Genomic DNA, 22,928 nt, shown 5'->3' on the forward strand with positions numbered 1-22,928 from the left:
CAGTATTTTCAAAAAATGGTGCTGACAACTAGATTTTTAAAAAATGAATCTAGACATAGACGTTATACCCTCCACAAAAATTAACTCAAAATAGATCATAGACCTAAATAGAAAATGCAAAAGTATAAAACTAGAAGACAACAAGAGAAAACCTGGATTACCTTGGGTATGGCAATGACTTTTTGGATACAACACCAAAGTAGCGATCCATGAAAGAAATAATTGATGAGCTGGACTTCATTAAGATTTAGAAACTTCTGGCCGGGCACGGTGGCTCACGCCTGTAATGCCAGCACTTTGGGAGGCTGAGGCAGGCAGATCACGAGGTCAGGAGATCGAGACCATCCTGGCTAACATGGTGAAACCCCATCGCCACTAAAAATACAAAAAAATTAGCTGGGCGTGGTGCCGGGCGCCTCAGCTACTAGGGAGGCTGAGGCAGGAGAATGGCGTGAACCAGGGAGGCGGAGGTTGCAGTGAGCTGAGATCGCGCCAATGCACTCCAGCCTGGGTGACAGAGCGAGACTCTGTCTCAAAAAATAATAATAATAATAAAGAAAAAGATTTAGAAACTTCTGTGAGTGAAAATGTCAAGAGAAGACAAGACTGGGAGAAAAATTTTGTAAAAGACATATCTGATAAAAGATCTATGCAAAATATACAAAGAACTCTTAAAACTTAACAATTAGAGGCCAGGCGCAGTGGCTCATGCCTGTAATCCCAGCACTTTGGGAGGCTGAGGTGGGCGGATCACGAGTTCAGGAGATCGAGACCATCCTGGCCAACACAGTGAAACCCCGTCTCTACTAAAAATACAAAAAAATTAGCCAGGCATGGTGGCAGGCACCTGTAGTCTCAGCTACTTGGGAGGCTGAGGCAGGAGAATGGGTTGAACCCGGGAGGCAGAGCTTGCAGTGAGCTGAGATTGCACCACTGCACTCCAGCCTGGGCAACAGAGCGAGACTCCGTCTCAAAAACAAACAAACAAACAAACAAACAAGCAAAACACTCTGCAGGATATTATCCAGGAGAACTTCCCCAATCTGGCAAGGCAGGCCAACATTCAGATTCAGGAAATACAGAGAATGCCACAAAGATACTCCTCGAGAAGAGCAACTCCAAGACACATAATTGTCAGATTCACCAAAGTTGAAATGAAGGAAAAAATATTAAGGGCAGCCAGAGAGAAAGGTCGGGTTACCCACAAAGGGAAGCCCATCAGACTAACAGCGGATCTCTCGGGAGAAACTCGATAAGCCAGAAGAGAGTGGGGGCCAATATTCAACATTCTTAAAGAAAAGAATTTTCAACCCAGAATTTCATATCCAGCCAAACTAAGCTTCATAAGTGAAGGAGAAATAAAATACTTTACAGACAAGCAAATGCTGAGAGATTTTGTCACCACCAGGCCTGCCCTAAAAGAGCTCCTGAAGGAAGCACTAAACATGGAAAGGAACAACCACTACCAGCCGCTGCAAAATCATGCCAAAATGTAAAGACCATCAAGACTAGGAAGAAACTGCATCAACTAACGAGCAAAATAACCAGCTAACATCATAATGACAGGTTCAAATTCACACATAACAATATTAACTTTAAATGTAAATGGACTAAATGCTCCAATTAAAAGACACAGACTGGCAAATTGGATAAAGAGTCAAGACCCATCAGTGTGTTGTATTCAGGAAACCCATCTCACATGCAGAGACACACATAGGCTCAAAATAGAAGCATGGAGAAAGATCTACCAAGCAAATGGAAAACAAAAAAAGGCAGGGGTTGCAATCCTAGTCTCTGATAAAACAGACTTTAAACCAACAAAGATCAAAAGAGACAAAGAAGGCCATTACATAATGGTAAAGGGATCGATTCAACAAGAAGAGCTAACTATCCTAAATATATATGCACCCAGTACAGGAGCACCCAGATTCATAAAGCAAGTCCTGAGTGACCTACAAAGAGACTTAGACTCCCACACATTAATAATGGGTGACTTTAATGGGTGACTGTCAACATTAGACAGATCAACGAGACAGAAAGTCAACAAGGATACCCAGGAATTGAACTCAGCTCTGCACCAAGTGGACCTAATAGACATCTACAGAACTCTCCACCCCAAATCAACAGAATATACATTTTTTTCAGCACCACACCGTACCTATTCCAAAATTGACCACATAGTTGGAAGTAAAGCTCTCCTCAGCAAATGTAAAAGAACAGAAATTATAACAAACTATCTCTCAGACCACAGTGCAATCAAGCTAGAACTCAGGATTAAGAAACTCACTCAAAACCGCTCAACTACATGGAAACTGAACAACCTGCTCCTGAATGACTACTGGGTACATAATGAAATGAAGGCAGAAATAAAGATGTTCTTTGAAACCAACGAGAACAAAGACACAACATACCAGAATCTCTGGGACACATTCAAAGCAGTGTGTAGAGGGAAATTTATAGCACTAAATGCCCACAAGAGAAAGCAGGAAAGATCCAAAATTGACACCCTAACATCACAATTAAAAGAACTAGAAAAGCAAGAGCAAACACATTCAAAAGCTAGCAGAAGGCAAGAAATAACTAAAATCAGAGCAGAACTGAAGGAAAAAGAGACACAAAAAACCCTTCAAAAAATTAATGAATCGAGCTGGTTTTTTGAAAAGATCAACAAGCTAGACCGCTAGCAAGACTAATAAAGAAAAAAGAGAGAAGAATCAAATAGATGCAATAAAAAATGATAAAGGGGATATCACCACCGATCCCACAGAAATACAAACTATCATCAGAGAATACTACAAACACCTCTATGCAAATAAACTAGAAAATCTAGAAGAAATGGATAAATTCCTCGACACATACACTCTCCCAAGACTAAACCAGGAAGAAGTTGAATCTCTGAATAGACCAATAACAGGAGCTGAAATTGTGGCAATAATCAATAGCTTACCAACGAAAAAGAGTCCAGGACCAGATGGATTCACAGCCGAATTCTACCAGAGGTACAAGGAGGAACTGGTACCATTCCTTCTGAAACTATTCCAATCAATAGAAAAAGAGGGAATCCTCCCTAACTCATTTTATGAGGCCAGCATCATCCTGATACCAAAGCCAGGCAGAGACACAACCAAAAAAGAGAATTTTAGACCAATATCCTTGCTGAACATCGATGCAAAAATCCTCAAAATACTGGCAAACCGAATCCAGCAGCACATCAAAAAGCTTATCCGCCATGATCAAGTGGGCTTCATCCCTGGGATGCAAGGCTGGTTCAATATACGCAAATCAATAAATGTAATCCAGCATATAAACAGAGCCAAAGACAAAAACCACGTGATTATCTCGATAGATGCAGAAAAGGCCTTTGACAAAATTCAACAACCCTTCATGCTAAAAGCTCTCAATAAATTAGGTATTGATGGAACATATCTCAAAATAATAAGAGCTATCTATGACAAACCCACAGCCAATATCATACTGAATGGGCAAAAACTGGAAGCATTCCCTTTGAAAACTGGCACAAGACAGGGATGCCCTCTCTCACCACTCCTATTCAACATAGTGTTGGAAGTTCTGGCCAGGGCAATTAGGCAGGAGAAGGAAATAAAGGGTATTCAATTAGGAAAAGAGGAAGTCAAATTGTCCCTGTTTGCAGACAACATGATTGTATATCTAGAAAACCCCATTGTCTCAGCCCAAAATCTCCTTAAGCTGATAAGCAACTTCAGCAGTCTCAGGATACAAAATCAATGTACAAAAATCACAAGCATTCTTATACACCAATAACAGACAAACAGAGAGCCAAATCATGAGTGAACTCCCATTCACAATTGCTTCAAAGAGAATAAAATACCTAGGAATCCAACTTACAAGGGACGTGAAGGACCTCTTCAAGGAGAACTACAAACCACTGCTCAATGAAATAAAAGAGGATACAAAGAAATGGAAGAACATTCCATGCTCATGGGTAGGAAGAATCGATATCATGAAAATGGCCATACTGCCCAAGGTAATTTATAGATTCAATGCCATCCCCATCAAACTACCAATGACTTTCTTCACAGAATTGGAAAAAACTACTTTAAAGTTCATATGGAACCAAAAAAGAGCCCGCATCGCCAAGTCAATCCTAAGCCAAAAGAACAAAGCTAGAGGCATCATGCTACCTGACTTCAAACTATACTGCAAGGCTACAGTAACCAAAACAGCATGGTACTGATACCAAAACAGAGATAGAGATCAATGGAACAGAACAGAGCCCTCAGAAATAACGCCGCATATCTACAGCTATCTGATCTTTGACAAACCTGAGAAAAACAAGCAATGGGGAAAGGATTCCCTATTTAATAAATGATGCTGGGAAAACTGGCTAGCCATATGTAGAAAGCTGAAGCTGGATCCCTTCCTTACACCTTATACAAAAATCAATTCAAGATGGATTAAAGACTTAAACGTTAGACCTAAAACCATAAAAACCCTAGAAGAAAACCTAGGCATTACCATTCAGGACATAGGCACGGGCAAGGACTTCATGTCTAAAACACCAAAAGCAATGGCAACAAAAGCCAAAATTGACAAATGGGATCTAGTTAAACTAAAGAGCTTCTGCACAGCAAAAGAAACTACCATCAGAGTGAACAGGCAACCCACAAAATGGGAAAAAATTTTTGCAACCTGCTCATCTGACAAAGGGCTAATATCCAGAATCTACAATGAACTCAAACAAATTTACAAGAAAAAAACAAACAACCCCATCAAAAAGTGGGCGAAGGACATGAACAGACACTTCTCAAAAGAAGCCATTTATGCAGCCAAAAAACACATGGAAAAATGCTCACCATCACTGGCCATCAGAGAAATGCAAATCAAAACCACAATGAGATATCATCTCACACCAGTTAGAATGGCAGTCATTAAGAAGTCAGGAAACAACAGGTGCTGGAGAGGATGTGGAGAAATAGGAACACTTTTACACTGTTGGTGGGACTGTAAACTAGTTCAACCATTGTGGAAGCAGTGTGGCGATTCCTCAGGGATCTAGAACTAGAAATACCATTTGACCCAGCCATCCCATTACTGGGTATATACCCAAAGGACTATAAATCATGCTGCTATAAAGACACATGCACACGTATGTTTATTGCAGCACTATTCACAATAGCAAAGACTTGGAACCAACCCAAATGTCCAACAATGATAGACTGGATTAAGAAAATGTGGCACATATACACCATGGAATACTATGCAGCCATAAAAAATGATGAGTTCATGTCCTTTGTAGGGACATGGATGAAACTGGAAATAATCATTCTCAGTAAACTATCGCAAGAACAAAAAACCAAACACCGCATATTCTCACTCATAGGTGGGAATTGAACAATGAGAACACATGGACACAGGAAGGGGAACATCACACTCTGGGGACTGTTGTGGGGTGGGGGGAGCGGGGAGGGATAGCATTGGGAGATATACCTAATGCTAGTTGACGAGTTAGTGGGTGCCGCGCACCAGCATGTCACATGTATATGTATGTAACTAACCTGCACATTGTGCACATGTACCCTAAAACTTAAAAGTATAATAAAAATAAATAAATAAATAAAAACACACACTTAACACTTAGAAAACAAGCTCGGTATGGTGGCTCACATCTGTAATCTCAGCACTTTGGGAGGCTGAGGCAGGTGGATTGCTTGAGCCTAGGAGTTTGAGACCAGCCTGGGCAATATGACAAAACCCCATCTCTACCCAAAATACAAAAAAATTGGACAGGTGTGGCCGGGCGCGGTGGCTCACGCCTGTAATCCCAGCACTTTGGGAGGCTGAGGCAGGAGAATGGCATGAACCCGGGAGGCGGAGCTTGCAGTGAGCCGAGATCGCGCCACTGCACTCTAGCCTGGGTGACAGCGCAAGACTCCATCTCAAAAAAAAAACTGGACAAGTGCGGTGGACCATGCCTGTGTTCCCAGCTACTCGGAATGCTGAGGTGGTAGGATTGCTTGAGCCCAGAAAGCAGAGATTGCAGTGAGCCATGATTACACCACTGCACTCCAGCCTGGGGAAAAGAGTGAGATCCTGTCTCAAAAAAAAAAGAAGAGAAAAGAAAACAACTTGATTAAAAAATGGACTGAAAACCTAAACAGACACCTCACCAAAGAAGGCATAAAAATGGCAAACATATGAAAAGATGCTTCATATCATGTGTTATCAGGGAAATCTACTACAGTAGATTTTGGACCATTCTAATAGGCCAAGTTCCAGCACACTGAAAACACCAAATGCTGGCAAGGACGTGGAACAAAAGCAATTTTTATGTGTTGCTGGTGAGAATGCAAAATTGTCAACTACTTGGGAAGGTAGTTGGGCAGTTTCTTACAAAATTAAACTTACTTTGACCGTATGATCCTGAAATCTTACTCCTTGGTATCTATCAAAAAGAGTTAAAAACTTGTATCCACACAGTAGCCTGCACATAAATGTTTATAGAAGCTTTATTCGTAATTGCCAAAACTTGAAAACAACCAAGATATTCTTCAGTAGGTGAGTGGATAAACTGTGGTACCTTTGGACAATGGAATATTATTTACCACTGAAAGGAAATGAGATATTAAGACATGAAAAGACTTGGAGAAAGCTGGGTGTGGTAATTCACACCTGCAGTCCCAGCACATTGGGAGGCCAAAGTTGACAGATCGCTTGAGCCCAGGAGTTCAAGATCAGCCTTGGCAACACAGTGAAACCCCATCTCTACAGAGAATACAAAAATTAGCTGGGTGTGGTGGTGTGTGACTGTAATCTCAGCTACCCAGGACGCTGAGGTGAGATAATCACCTGAGCCTGGGAAGTTGAGGCTGCAGTGAGCTGTGACTGCACTCCAGCCTGGACAATGGAGTAAGAACCTGTGTCAAAAACAAAAAAGACTTGAAAAAAATTAAATGCATATTACTAAATGAAAAAAGCCAATCTGAAAAGGCTACATACTGTATAATTACAACTATAGATATTCCGGAATAGGAAAAACTGTGGAGACACTAAAATGCAATTAAAAAATTAGTAGTTGCAAGGGGATGGGGTAGAGAGAGAGAGGATGAATAGGCAGAGCACAGAGGATTTTTAGGGCAGTGAAATGCTCTGATACTATAATGGGGAGACATGTCATTATACATTTGTCCAAACCCATAGAATGTACAACACCAAGAATGAACCCTAATGTAAACTAGGGACCTTGGGTGATTACAGTGTGCCAGTGTAAGTTCATCAGTTTTAACAAATGTACCACTTTGGTAGGGGATGTTAATAATCGGGGAGGCTATCCATGGCCATGTATGGGAGCAGGAGATATTTGGGATATTTTTCTATCTTCCTGTCAGTTTTGTTGTGAACTTAAAACTGCTCTAAGTCTTGGCCGAGCGCGGTGGCTCACGCCTGTAATCCCAGCACTTTGGGAGGCCGAGGTGGGTGGATCACGAGGTCAGGAGATCGCGACCACCCTGGCTAACACAGTGAAACCCCATCTCTAGTAAAAATACAAAAAATTAGCTGGGCGTGGTGGCGGGCGCCTGTAGTCCCAGCTACTTGGGAGACTGAGGCAGGAGAATGGCGTGAACCCAGGAGGCGGAGCTTGCAGTGAGCAGAGATCACGCCGCTGCACTCCAGCCTGGGCAACAGAGCGAGACTCCGTCTCAAAAAAAAAAAAAAAAAACAAAACAAACAAACCACAAAACTGCTCTAAGTCTTAAAAAACAATTAAAGAGAGGCCAGGCTCATACCTGTAATCCCAGCAGTTTGGGAGGCTAAGGCAGGAGGATCGCTTGAGTCCAGGAGTTTGAGACCAGTCTGGACAACATAATATGAGACAGAAAAATACCACAATTAGCCATGCATGGTGGCATACGCCTGTAGTCCCAGCTACTTGGGAGGCTGAAGTGGGAGGATCACTTGAGCACAGGGGATTGAGGCTGCAGTGAACCATGATGACGCCATTGCACTCCAACTTGGTCAACAGAACGCGACCCTGTCTCAAAAATAAAAATTAAAATTAAAGAGAAGTAATTACAGTGATGTGTGAGAGGAGGAAAAAAGATAGGAAGATTATGTCTTAAGGCCAGGTGCAGTGGCTCACGCCTGTAATCCGAACAGTTTGGGATGCCGAGGTGGGAGTATTGCTTGAGGCCAGGAATTCAAGGTTACAGTTCACTATAATCATGCTACCCGTACTCCATTCTGGGCAACAGAACAAGACCCTGTCAAAGAAAAAAACAAAAACGTTATGTTTTAAGGAAGCATTGTGGTTAATAATTTATATTTTTGGTAGAGATTATTTTTCTAAAAGCACTCTCAGAGGAAAAAATTAAGCTATAAAAATTTAAAAATCCTAACAAATTGCCAGTCTTGATATTAAAATTATAATTAAAAATTTTTCTTAGATATCTTATAAAACAGACATTGGCAAACTACCAGGTGGCCATTTGTTTTAATAAATAAAATTTTACTGAAACATAGACATACTCATTTGTTTATATATTGCCTATGGTTGCTTTTCTGCTAGAACAGCAGAATTGAGTAAGGCCCACAGCCTGAAACACTTACTGTCTGGCCCTTTTTTTTTTTTTTTTTCTGTCTGGCCCTTTAAGAAAAAGTTTTTAGATCCCTGTTTTAAAGGACACAAATTTGAATCCTTCCTATAGATTAAAATTTCTACTTTGATTATCATTTCCCTTCAGCCTGAAGAACTTCCTTTAGCATTTCTTGAAGTGCAGGTCTTCTAGCAGTGAATTTTTCAACTTTTATCTGAAAGTATCTTTATTTTATTCTCATTTTTGAAGGTTATTTTTGCCAGATATAGAAATCTGGGCTGATACGTTGAGGGCATTCATTTAGCATGTTAAAAGATGCAGTTCCGGCGGGGCGCAGTGGCTCATGCCTGTAATCCCAGCACTTTGGGAGGCTGAGGTGGGTGGATCATGAGGTCAAGAGATCCAAGACCATCCTGGCCAACATGGTGAAACCCCATCTCTACTAAAAATACAAAAATTAGTTGGGCCTGGTGGCGTGGGCCTGCAGTCCCAGCTACTCGTGAGGCTTGGGCAGGAGAATTGCTTGAACCCAGGAGGTGGAGGTTGCAGTGAGCCGAGACCACGCCACTGCATGCCAGCCTGGCGACGGAGACTCTGTCTCAAAAAAAAAAAAAAAAGATGCAGTTCCAACTGTCTTCTGGCCTTCATTGTTTCTAAGTCAGCCATCTTTCTTTTGTTGTTCTCTTTTATTGTGTGTTTTTTCTCTAGATGCTTTTAAGATTTTCCCTTTATCTTTAATTGTTATCAATTTGACCAAGATATGCCTTAGTATGGGGTTTTATTTTGTATTTATCCTGCTTAGGGTTCTCTGAGGTTCTTAGATTTGTGGGTTGATGTTTTTCACCAAATTTGGGGAAATTTCAGCATTTATTCAGATCAAATATGCAAATTTTACAATGCTATCTTTTTTTAATCCTTCTAGGACTCAAGTTTCATACATTTTTAAAATTTATTTATTTATTTATTTAAGATGGAGTCTCGCTTTGTCACCCAGGCTGGAGTGCAGTGGCATGATATCGGCTCATTGCAACCTTCACCTCCCGGGTTCAGTCGATCCTCCCACCTAAAACTCCCAAGTAGCTGGGATTACAGGCATGCACCACCACGCCCAGCTATTTTTTTTTTTTTTTTTTTTGTACTTTTATTAGAGACGGGGTTTCACCATGTTGGTCAGGCTGGTCTTGAACTCCTAACCTCAAGTGAGCCACCATGCTCGGCCGAGTTACATACATTTCAGACTGCTTGATATTATCCCAAACATCACTGAAGTTTTGTTTAGATTTTTGTAATACCTTTTCTCCTTCAGTTTGTTTAATGTCTTTGATTTACCTTCAAGTTCATTGACCCCTTTTTTTCTGTAATGTTTAGTCTGCTGTTAAGCCCAGTCAGCATATATTTCACTTTAGATGTCGTACTTTCAATTCCAGAATTTCCATTTGGTTCTTTTTTACTCCCCATTCTTTACCAGATGTTCCCACATTTTCCTTTAAATCCTTGAACATATATATACGCACACACATATATATACACATATACACACATATATATACATATACATATACATATATATATAAACAGTTGTTTATAAGTTCTTGTCTGCTAATTTTCACAAGTGGATCACCTCTCCGTTTGTTTCTGTTGATTCCTTTTTTTCTTGATTGTGGGTCATTCTCTGCTTTTTTGTATGTCTAGTAATTTTATTGTATACTTTATGAGTATTACATTGAGGAGTTTGGATTTTGTTGCCTTCTTTTAAAGTGTGTCTTCTTTTAAAGGGTGTTGAATTTTGTTCTGGCAGACAAATTACTGGAGGAGCCTGCGTTAGGGTTCCCTAGAGGTACAGAACTAATAGGAGATATATACATATAATAGGATATATTATATATATATATATATATATATATATATATATATATATATATATATATACCCGGCTACCACACCCGGCCACCTCTGTTATTTCTGTTCAGCTCTCAGCCCTATATCATTTTAGATATGTGTGTGTATATATATATATATGTGTGTGTGTGTGTGTGTGTGTGTGTGTTTGTATGTGTGTATATATATGTATATATGTACATATACATTCTTAGATTTGTGGATTGATGTTTTTCACCAAATGATTCTTCCTCAAAAATGCCTCCCCTGACCAAACTATCTAAAATAGAGCCTCCCACCACTCTCTATCACATCTCCCTGTTTTAATTTATACACAGCACTCTGACATTTATATTATGTTCTATAACTTTTGTTTATTTATTGTTATCTCCCCAACAAGAATGTAAGCTTCGTAGGACAATAACTTGGTCTGTTTTGTTCACTGCTGAATCTCCAGCTGTTTAAAACAGTTCTTGGCAGGGCACAGTGGCTCACGCCTGTAATCCCAGCACTTTGGAAGGCCAAGGCGGGCGGATCGAGAGATCAGGAGTTTGAGACCAGCCTGTATGTATATATATACATATACAGCCTGTATATGTATATATATACACACATATATATATGCATACACACACACACACACACACACACACACACATATATATATAAAGGGGAGTTTATTAAGTATTAATAAAGCCTGGATGACAAAGCAAGACTCCATCTTAAATAAATAAATAAAATTTAAAATGTGTGTAACTTGAGTCCTAGAAGGATAAAAAAAGATAGAATTTTAAAATTTGAATAATATATGATCTGAATAAAGGGGAGTTTATTAAGTATTAACTCATACGATCACAAGGTCCCACATTAGGTTGTCTGCGAGCTTGAGGAGCAAGGAGAGCCAGTCCAAGTCTCAAAACTAAAGAATTTGGAGTCTGATGTTTGAGGGCAGGAAGCATCCAGCACGAGAGAAAGATGTAGGCTGTTAAGCTAGGCCAGTCTCACCTTTTCTCGTTTTTCTGCCTGTTTTATATTCGCTGGTAGTTGATTAGAATTTGCCCATCAGATTAAGGGTGGGTCTGCCTTCCCCAGCCCACTGACTCAAATGTTAATCTCCTTTGGCAACACCCTCACAGACATATCCAGGATCAATACTTAAAGTATCTTTCAGTCCAGTGAAGTTGACACTCAATACTAACCATCACAGAGCCTGTTGATTCTGTCAGGCTTGTTTATGCTTTGGTTTTTTGCTTCATTAGAGCAAGTTAGTTTTTATTTTGTTTTTAGTCTCAGAGCATGGCCTTTAACTCTAGAGTGTGGCCTAAAAATGATAATAATCATAAGTAATTAGTCTAGTGTGGTGATGTGCTCCTATAGTCCCAACTACTCAGAAGGGTGAGGTGGGAGGATCATTTGAGCTCAGGAGATTGAGACTGCAGTGAGCTATGATCATGCCACAGCACTTCAGCCTGGGCACTAGAACAAACCCCAACTCTAAGAGCGTGGTCCCTACTCTTAAACTATGGCCTTGTAGCAACTCATCTGAATACCGAAGATGGTTGGTGCTCCATGACCTCTGTTATTTCCTTTATTTTTTATTTTTAATAGGGAAGACGGGGAGAATTTTAGCCTTTTTTGTGTATGTGTGCAGTGGTGTGATTGTAGCTCACTGAAGCATCTACTTCTTGGGCTCAAGCTCTCCTCCCACCTTTGCCTCTGAGTATCTGGGACTACAAGTGTGTGCCAGCATGCCCACCTAATTTTTTTAATTTTTAGTAGACACGAAGTCTCACTATGTTTTACAGGCTGGTCTCAAATTCCTGAGCTCAAGTGATCTCCCACCTTGGCCTCCCAAAGCACTGGGATTGCAGGGATGAGCTACCACACCCAACCACCTCTGTTATTTCTGTTCAGCTCTCAGCCCTATAGGAGGAGCTGTCTGTTAGACCCCATGAAGTCTCACCCTGTGCATACACAACCTGGGGCTTGGCCAAAGACCTAAGAGGAAATCCCCATATAGATTTCTGCTCTCCGTTTCATCCCCCACAGGTTCCTCCTCTGTAATATCCTTTCCTGCAAATTCTAGCCACCTCAGCAGGCCAAACTCTGATGATCTCTGTCTCCTCTGCTCACAAAGACTGCCTATTCATATATATCCCTTCTTTTAAGGACCATGGTCTTGTGCTGATGGTTGTACAGTGCTTACAAACAGCTGCCTCATGTATTTTTCCTGCCTTTATAATTGTTTAGGGTAGAGGAAACCCAATACTGGTTAGTATGTCATTGCTAGCAGTGGAAGTTCATGTTGTCCTTTTTAAATTAAATAAATCCATCTCTAAGTTTAAAGGAAACTCATTACTCACAGACCATGTCTCAGGAGCCATATGAGAACATAATTTTAAGTAGTACATGTAGACATTTACCTATATTTCATGGAGGGCTGAGATAGTCCCACTAACCAGTATTTGAGCAAATTTCAAGTGTGTTGTATCTGTTCATATACACAAAGCAAAGAAAGAATGTTATATCGTTGTTTTGTATTTAATGTTTATGTTTCAGAATGATTAATATTACTTCATCTCTTTCTAGGAGTTTTTATGGTCAATTGCTGATCTGAGTTTCAGTAACTTTCCAAAACATTACTATAAGTAAATATTCATCAGGACTCTGAAGTGCAAGTCAACTATATAATCAGGAGGCTCAGAAAATTGATCACAGCCGGTCAATAAATTGATTAGTTTTACATGTAAATTGTAAAACTAATCAGATTTTCTCAATCTAAATCTTAGATTCTCTTTCATTCTAAGGATAAATACATTACTTTGACAACTCTAAATACTCCAGTATGTATTAATCACCAACTATTTGCTAGGCTTGTCTCATAATCCAGAGGAAAATATTCTCACTTAGTCCCCACATTGATCATGCAGGGTAAATGGCATCATCTTTATTTTATAGATGAGGGTTGAGGCTTAGAAAAATTAGGAACTAATCCAAAGTCATGCAGTTAATAAATTACAGAGCCATGATTTGACTCTCTAAAAGAGAAAATCTGGTCTAACTCCAAAGCTCATGTATTTTATTCTTTTATTCTCTTGGCTGTGCAGTAGAACCACCTTTGGAGCTTTCAGTAAATATAGAAACCCATGCCCCATTCCCATGTTCAGTACGTCTGTGGTAGTGTCTGTAATATTAGAATGCAGCCAGAGTTGAGGACCACTGCTTATCAGTGCCATACTCCTTCTCTATAGCCATAGGCACTGGATCATGAAGTCCTGTTAGTCAGGAAATTGGAAGTCTAGACAGTTTTGAGATTATAGCCCTGCTGTTAGAGTAAGAAAATGGGAGGAAAAGGCAGGATCAGTTCTTTTTTTGCCTCTCAGAGTAGGGGCTGCAACTGAAGCCTAAAAGAGAAGTAGAGGACGATTAATCCTAAACCACCTGTCATCTTTGTAAGCATCTTACCAGTTTCTTTAGAAATGTTTACTCTGAATTTTTAAGTCAAGTGAGAGGTATGTCTTATCTCTACTGTCATGAGCTTTTTGTTTCCTCACCTTTGAAAAAGGGATATCTATCTAATTTAGAGGTAAGGGTGACATGAGACTAGTGCCTGGTTATTGCCTCCTTAGGAGCTACCAGATACAGTCCCAGCCCCCAGTTACCTCTGCCACCTAGCCACCTATTCTTAAAGTTTTTACTATTGTGTCTCTAATATGGCCCCTTCTTTCCTGTCTCCCTCATTTCTAACACTTTTTCCTCACTCCTTAGCTTCTCCTCAAATATGCTGCGCATGCTCCTGTCTCAAGGCCTTTGTACTTGCTCGTCTTTGTTTGAATGTTCTTCCTCCAAGTTTCATTCATACCTCTGCTCAAATGATTCCTCCTCAAAAATGCCTCCCCTGACCAAACTATCTAAAATAGAGCCTCCCACCACTCTCTATCACATCTCCCTGTTTTAATTTATACACAGAACTCTGACATTTATATTATGTTCTATAACTTTTGTTTATTTATTCTTATCTCCCCAACAAGAATGTAAGCTTCATAGGACAATAACTTGGTCTATTTTGTTCACTGCTGAATCTCCAGCTGTTTAAAACAGTTCTGGGCGGCCGGGCACGGTGGCTCACGCCTGTAATCCCAGCACTTTGGGAGGCCGAGGCGGGCGAATCACGAGGTCAGGAGATGGAGACCATCCTGGCTAACACGGTGAAACCCCGTCTCTACTAAAAATACAAAAAATTAGCCGGGCGCAGTGGCGGGCGCCTGTAGTCCCAGCTACTCGGGAGGCTGAGGCAGGAGAATGGCGTGAACCCGGGAGGCGGAGCTTGCAGTGAGCCGAGTTCGTGCCACTGCACTCCAGCCTGGGCGACAGAGCGAGACTCCGTCTCAAAAAAAAAACAGTTTTGGCAGGGCACAGTGGCTCGCACCTGTAATCCCAGCACTTTGGAAGGCCGAGGCAGGCGAATCAAGAGATCAGGAGTTTGAGACCAGCCTAGCCAACATGGTGAAACCCTGTCTCTACTAAAAATACAAAAATTAGCCGGGCGCGGTGGCGGGCGCCTGTAATTCCAGCTTCTCAGGAGGTTAAGGCAAGAGAATTGCTTGAACCCAGGAGGTGGAGGTTGCAGTGAGCCGAGATCGTGCCACTGCACTCCAACCTGGCTGACACAGCAAGACTCCATCTTGAAAAAACAAAACAAAACAAAAAAACAGATCTTGGCATATAGTAGATACTAAATATTATCCAATTGGCTGGGTGCGATGGCTCACACCTATAATCCCAGCACTTTGGGAGGCTAAGATGGGCGAATCACTTGAGGTCAGGAATTCGAGACCAGCCTGGCCAACATGGTGAAACCCTGTTTCTACTAAAAATGCAAAAATTAGCTGGGCATGGTGGTGCACACCTGTAATCCCAGCTACTTGGGAGGCTGAGGCACAAGAATTGCTTGAACCCACGGGGCTGAGGTTGCAGGGAGCTGAGATCACGTCACTTCATTCTAGCCTGGGCAACAGAGCAAGACTCAGTCTCAAAAATAAATAAATAAATATATAAATAAATATTGTCAAATGATTAAATTTCTACACTGATAACTCTGCTTTATAAATAATACAAAAATCAGTGATAGGATAAAAACTATATGCTCTAATGGCTTTGGTGGCCTGTATTTTCTCTTTGTGATAAATACATTTTATTATTTTATCTTTGATACTTTTCCTTAATAATGGCTTTATCAATGATATATGTTTTAGCAGCTGTAGTGGTCGGATCTTGCATTGCTATAAAGAATTACCTGAGGCCAGGCACGATGGTTCACGCCTGTAATCCCAGCACTTTCCAAGGTCAAGGTGGGAGGATCACTTGAGCTCAAGAGTTCAAGACCAGCCTGGGCAATATAGTGAGACCCCATCTTTGTTTTTGTTTTAAATGTTTAAAAGAAAAAAAAAATTACCAGAGACTGGGTAATTTATAAAGAAAGAGGTTTAATCAGCTCATGGTTCTGCGGGCTGTACAGGCATCTGCTTCTGAGGAGGCCTCAGGACACTTGCAATCATGGCATAAGGCGAAGGGGAAGCAAGCACATCTTCACATGGCCGGAGAAGGAGGAAGAAAGCAAAGGGGAAGGTGCCATACACTTTTAAACAACTAGATCCTGTGAGAACTCTATCACGAGACAGCACTATGGGGATGGTGCTAAACCATTAGAAACCACCTCCATGATCCAGTCACCTCTCACCAGGCCCCACCTCCGACACTGGGGATTACAATTCAGCATGAGATTTGGGTGGGGATACAGAGCTAAACCATATCAGCAGCCTAGCTATTAATGGTATTTTCTGATAGCAGCATGATATTCCCTGTTGACTTGTATATTTTTCCCCTGGCTCTCTGGTCTTCAATGAAGAGGACCGGGTTAAAATATAAAGAGAGCTGCTTTATTTATTTATATTTATTTATTTATTTTTGAGACAGAGTCTCCCTCCATTGCCCAGGCTAGAGTGCAGTGGTGCTATCTCGGCTCACTGCAACCTCCTCCACCTCCTGGGTTCAAGCGATTCTCCTGCCTCAGCCTCCTGAATAGCTGGGATTACAGGCACACACCATTATACCCGGCTAATTTTTGTATTGTTAGTAGAGACGGGGTTTCGCCATGTTGGCCAGGCTGGTTTCAAACTCCTGACCTCGTGATCCGCCCACCTCAGCCTCCCAAAGTGCTGAGATTACACGCATGAGCCACCCCACCTGACCGAGAGTTGCTTTGATATCAATCATTGTCATGATATTGTTTGCAGTCTACTCTGCATCTAATTTTCCCCAAACTTTCATTGTTTTTAAGCTCACATTTGTTACAGGTTTTTTCTTAATTTGTTTGAGAAGTATTCTTAATTTGTTTGACTTAGTACTTTCTTATCTGAAGATTTATAGGCTGGGCACAGTGGCTCATGCCTATAATCCCAGCACTTTGGGAGGCCAGGACAGGAAGATGGCTGGAGCCTGGGAGTTCCAAGACCAGTCTGGACAACATAGTGAGACCTCCTCTCTACAAAAAAAAATTTTTTAATTAGCCAGGTGTAGTGTTGCATGCCTGTAGTCCCAGCTAGTCAGGAGGTTGAGGTGGGAGGACTGCTTGAGCCCCGGAGGTCGGGGCTCCAGTCAGCTGTGATCACACTGGTGCACTCCAGCCTGAGTAACACAGCAAGACTTCTCAAAAAAATTAAAAAAATGAATGCTTATCATAAATGGTTTATAATGATAAATTAAAAACCATGGAAATCTTATAGGGAGGGTTCATTAAATTTGTTATATCCATAAAAGTGTAATATGTAGCCACTAAAAAGGATGATGCTGAGCTATATTTATTGGCATACAAAGATATATATGTTGGGCCGGATGTGGTGGCTCACGCCTGTAATCCCAGCACTTTGGGAGGCCGAGGTGGGCGGATCACCTGAGGTCAGGAGTTCGAGACCAGTCTGACCCACATGGAGAAACCCCATCTCTACTAAAAATACAAAATTAGCTGGGCTTGGCGCATGCCTATAATCCCAGCTACTTGGGACGGCTGAGGCAGGAGAATCGCTTGAACCGGGGAGGCGGAGGTTGTGGTGAGCCGAGATCGCGCCATTGCACTCCAGCCTGGGCAACAAGAGCAAAACTCCGTCTCAAAAAACAAAACAAAACAAAACAAAAAACAAAGATACCTATGTTGTTTCTTGTTTTTAAGACAGTGTTTCCCTCTGTCACCCAGGCTGGAGTGCAGTGGTGGCTCACTGCAGCCCTAGCCTCCTGGGCTCAAGTGATCCTCCCATCTCAGCCTCCTGAGTAGCTGGATTACAGATGTGTGCCACCCCACCCAGCTAATTGTATTTACTTTTAGTAGAGACAGAGTCTTGCTAGGTACCCCTGGGCTCAAATGATCTTCCTGCCTTGGCCTCCTAAAATATTGGGATTACAGACATGAGACACTGTGCTCAATCTGTATCTGTGATTTTTTAAATTAAAAAGAAAACAGGTTACAAGAAAACAAGTATAACATAATCTCATTTTTGTGGAGGAAAAAAATAGATACTTGTATATGTATACACAAGTATCTCCTATACAAAATTGGAGGGTAAGGTTAGCACTCTTAATTGTCTCCAAGTCAGCTAGCATTTTTCTAGATCATCGTTTGTTTCAGTACGACTAACTATAATAATTACCTCTTTTTTTAATTTTTAATTTTTTAGGTATATAGTAGGTGTGGGGCTTATAACTATTACTTCTGGCCTCTGGGAAGCCCTCTAACTATTCTATCCTAGGTATAAATAAATACCTTTCTCCTTAGTTCAACAAAACCAAGGCTGGGGTTTTCTAAAAGGAATTTTTCAAGAAAACAAAAAAAGGAAAGTAAACAAAAGGCAAAATAAAAGCATAGAAATCAAAGTGTTTACAGGATACACACTGCTTTTTCTTATGTCAGTAAAAGTCTATCCACCAACTAGTTAAGTTGTTACAGTTTATGGGGCTCTAAAGTTTTTGGGAGCTGGGCATGATGGCTCACGTCTATAATCCCAGCAGTTTGGGAGGCCAAGGTGGGACAATTGCTTGAGGCCAGGAGTTTGAGACCAGCCCGGACCACATAGTAAGACCTCGTCTCTACAAAAAATAAAATATTAGCCAAGTGTAGTAGTGCAAGCCTGTGGTCCCAGCTACTTGGGAGGCTGAGCTGGGAGGATCACTTGAGCCCAGGAAGTTGAAGTTGCAGTGAGTGATGATTTTGCCATTGCCTTCCAGCTTGGGCAACAGAACAAAACCCTGTCTCAGAAAATAAAAAATAAAAATAATCCTTGTGACTCTGCAACCCAGGCTGGAGTGCAGTGCCGCGGCCTTGGCTCATTGCAACCTCCACCTCCCAGGTTCTAGCAATTCTGGTGCCTCAGGCCCCCAAGTAGCTGGGGTTACAGGCGTGTGCCACCACGCCAGGCTGAATTTTTTGTATTTTTTAGTAGAGATGGGGTTTTGCTGTTTTGGCCAGGCTGGTCTCAAACTTCTGGCCACAAGTGACTCACATGCCTCGGTCTTTCAAAGTGCTGGAATTACAGGCGTGAGCCACCTTTCCTGGCCCCTTGTGGCAATTTTTTACCCAGATCTCTCTAGCCAAAACTATAAAATTGAGAGTTTTGATTCAGCACTATCATTTGGTAATAATGTAGAGAAAAATGGAATGACGTGGAAAATATGTGTAAAATACAAATAAAAAAGATTATAAGATAGTATATATGATATAACCCTAATTTTAAGGTATACAGTATAATGTACAGAAATAAAAAAAAACCCACCAGAGAGATACTCTTCAGATGATAACAGTGGTTATCTTTAAGTTGTAGTACTACAGTTAAAGTTTAATTTCTTTGTGCTTTTCTATTTTTCCAAGTTTTCTATAGGAACATGTTATTAAGAAGTATATATATATATTTTTTAAATTATTTATTTATTTATTTATTTATTTATTTTTTTGAGACGGAGTCTTGCTCTGTCACCCAGGCTGGAGTGCAGTGGTGTGACCTCGGCTCACTGCAAGCTCTGCGTCCCGGGTTCACGCCATTCTCCTGCCTCAGCCTCCCAAGTAGCTGGGACTACAGGTGCCCGCCACCACGCCCGGCTAATTTTTATTTTTTTGTATTTTTAATAGAGACGGGGTTTCACGATGTTAGCCAGGTTGGTTTCGATTTCCTGACCTCGTGAGCCGCCCGCCTCGGCTGCCCAAAGTGCTGGAATTATAGGCGTGAGCCACCGCGCCAGGACTTTTTTTTTTTTTTTTTTTGAGATAGAGTTTTCACTCTTATCGCCCAGGCCGCAGTGCAGTGGCCTGATCTCAGCTCACTGCAACCTCCACCTCCCAGGTTCAAGAGATTCTTCTGTCTCAGCCTCCTAAGTAGCTGGGATTACAGACACGCACCACCATGCCCGGCTAATTTTTTGTATTTTTAGTAGAGATGGGGTTTCACCTTGTTGGCCAAGCTGGGCGACAGAGCAAGACTCTGTCTCAAAATAAGTAAATAAAAGAAAAGAAAAGAAAATTTGAGCAACTAAAAATAACATATTCTTAATACCTTACCTAACTTGTGTCAATTTTTATTTGTGCTATGCATATAAAAAGGTCTCACTGTTGAAGATCACTGTATCTGAAGAGATTCATTTTATTTATTTATTTATTTGAGATGAAGTCTCTGTCACCCAGGTTGCAGTGCAATGGCGCGATCTCAGCTCACTGCAACTTCCGCCTCCCAGATTCAAGTGATTCTCCTATCTCAGCCTCCTAAGTAGCTGGGATTATAGACACGCACCACCACGCCCGGCTAATTTTTTGTATTTTTAGTAGAGATGGGGTTTCACCTTGTTGGCCAAGCTGATCTTGAACTCCTGACCTTGTGATCTGCCCACCTCAACTTCCCAAAGTGCTGGGATTACAGGCGTGAGCCACTGCGCCCAGTCCATTTTATTAATTCATCAAATCTTTGTTGAACTTCTCTTACATGCTAGGCATGTTCTAGATGTTGGGGATATAGTGGTGACGAAGACAGTTTGTACTGTCATGGAGCTTATATTCTGGGCAGATTTATTGGTCAAAAAAATCTGTGATGGGGCCGGGCGCGGCGGCTCACACCTATAATCCCAGCACTTTGGGAGGCTGAGGGAAGCAGATCACCTGAGATCCAGGGTTCGAGACCAGCCTGGCCAACATGGCGAAACCCCATCTCTACTGAAAATAAAAAACTTACCCGGGCGTGGTGGCGAGCGCCTATAATCCTAGCTATTACGGAGGCTGAGGCAGGGAGAATCGCTGGAACGCGGGAGGCAGAGGTTGCAGTGAGTTGAGATCATGCCATTGCACTCCAGCCTGGGAGACAGGGCAAGACTCTGTCCCCCCACCAAAAAAAAAAATTCTGTGATGAATGGTACAGTGTATCAATTAGTAACTGTAAATAAATTAGCATACCAACTATAAGGATTACAAAATTAGAATAAACATCATAGAATTAGTGCAATGTAAATTGATTCACGGTGGTTTTTTTTTTTTTTTTTTTTAGAAATCATAGTATCAATGGGAATAATATGGATTTATTTTTTTTCTTCTAGCTTTAAGGAAGCCTCCTATTTCAGTTTCTCAACATGAAAGTCATCAAGCAATCTCCCATCTTCCAACTGGACAACCTCTCTCCCCAAATATGCCTCCAGGTATGAAGGCTTATGCTTATAATTCCATTTGAAACCAACTTACTAGTCATGTACAGTTATATAGTGTATAAAATATATCACTTAGCAGTATAGTGAAATAGCATTTATTCTTTGAGGTAATGTTATTTTTTTTTAGACTAGTAAAAGCAGAGAGAAATAATAATCTGAAACTCCACTTTATCTGGTGGATTGTTAGTCTTTTTCTTAAGAACAGAAGAATTATTTATTATGCCACTCTGAGCTACATTCCCTTTCCTCTCTGCCTGCTATACAGGTTTAGCTTCTTCAAAATGTGTTCAAATTTATCTCATAGAGGCCTTCTATAAATTACAGTGCCCACCTATATTAAAATCTTCGTACTTATGAATGTATTTGTTTATTTTCTAAACACTCATTCCATTTTATAGAACATTTCCCTGAAATGAGAGTAGATATGATTGAAGAGACCTGCTTAAGGGAGATGATGGAAAGGAAAAAGGTCAGAGTGGAATAGGATGTTTTGGGATCCAAAATTAAAGTCATTGATGAGGATAAAAAGGGAGGTGGGGAAAGAGAGGTGGTATCCAGTAGATAATGCTAAGAAAGAATCAAGAGTCAACACTTGTGAGTCACTGTATAGTGAAGATGACTTAGAGAGTAGAAATTTCAAAAGCCTTACTGGATTTTGGAGATTTCTGATAGTGATATGGAATTTGGAGGGAGGAAAAGATATGAGTATCATTGCTATATTAATCTATGGATTTCTACTGTATATCTTTTTGGTGAATAAGTTTATGGCCATTAGTGGAGATACTCACCTGGGAATGATCAGTAAACTTCCCACAGCTAAAATCACATTGGTTATAATACTTGATTAAAGAAATGAGAATAAACCTTTAAAAAAAAAAAAAAAAGCTTTGTGGCTACCCAATGTTAAACAATAGTGTGTCTTAGCTTTCTAAAGCAGATCTTGTGAAATTCATCTTTAAAAGATTAAATTAAATTATATTCTTTTAATTTGATGTTTTTATGCCACAGATTCACACATAAACCACAATGGAAACCCCGGTACTTCAAAACAGAATCCTTCCAGTCCTCTTCAGCGTTTAATTCCAGGCTCAAACTTGGACAGTGAACCCAGAATTCAAACAGATATACTAAAGCAGGCTACCAAGGACAGAGTCAGTGATTTCCATAAATTGAAGCAAAGTAAGAATCAATTGATGAATATTATGCTAAAAATATTTCTTTAAATGTAATATGAATTAAGGTCTTCATTATTCTGCTCTCTAATAAATGTATAGTGAAGTTATATATATTTAAAGAGAAGGTATGAAAGTGTCAAAATTTAAAGGAAATACAGGTTTTAAATGGATAGATACGATTTTAAAGAAAACTTTAAAAAGGTTCTCATGTTCTCCATTGTTAAATAATAAATTTCAGGTGAGTTGACTTTTTTTAAAAATACAATTAGTTCTTATGAATATAAACTTTTTTGGAGAAATGAGAAAAATATATTTTGATAGGCTTACAAATGAAAACTTTGATTAGGGAGGAGAGAAAATAAATAGTTTTGAAAAATGGAACATTCTGGGAGAAACATACACTCTGGGGGATTGCCTTAGTAGATTGCTCAATACTGCTTCCTCCTCCATTCCCTGCAATTGCATTTTCCTCATTTAGATGTTAGAAGTATAAGAAAAAATTCTAGTAGTAGAATTTGAGGCAGGAGAGTGTCCCTTAGATCAGCTTCCTTAAACTGTGCTTTTCACTGGT

General features: G+C 40.6%; 1 protein-coding gene across 3 annotated transcripts in view; it reads left to right on the forward strand.

Annotated features, from left to right (window-relative positions):
* Positions 1–22,928, forward strand: part of GOLM2 (golgi membrane protein 2) — a 127,040-nt gene that overhangs the window by 69,897 nt on the left and 34,215 nt on the right. For all 3 annotated transcript variants that reach the window (NR_157849.2, NM_138423.4, NM_177974.3), the window contains 2 exons: positions 21,075–21,173; positions 22,191–22,361. Coding sequence is in view for 2 of the 3 variants with exons in the window: in NM_138423.4 (NP_612432.2) it covers positions 21,075–21,173; positions 22,191–22,361 (270 nt within the window). In the remaining variant the exon portion in view is untranslated. The remainder of the gene's footprint in view (positions 1–21,074; positions 21,174–22,190; positions 22,362–22,928) is intronic.

The sequence above is a fragment of the Homo sapiens genome, chromosome 15 (genome assembly GCF_000001405.40).
Source record: "Homo sapiens chromosome 15, GRCh38.p14 Primary Assembly".
NCBI lineage: Eukaryota > Metazoa > Chordata > Mammalia > Primates > Hominidae > Homo > Homo sapiens.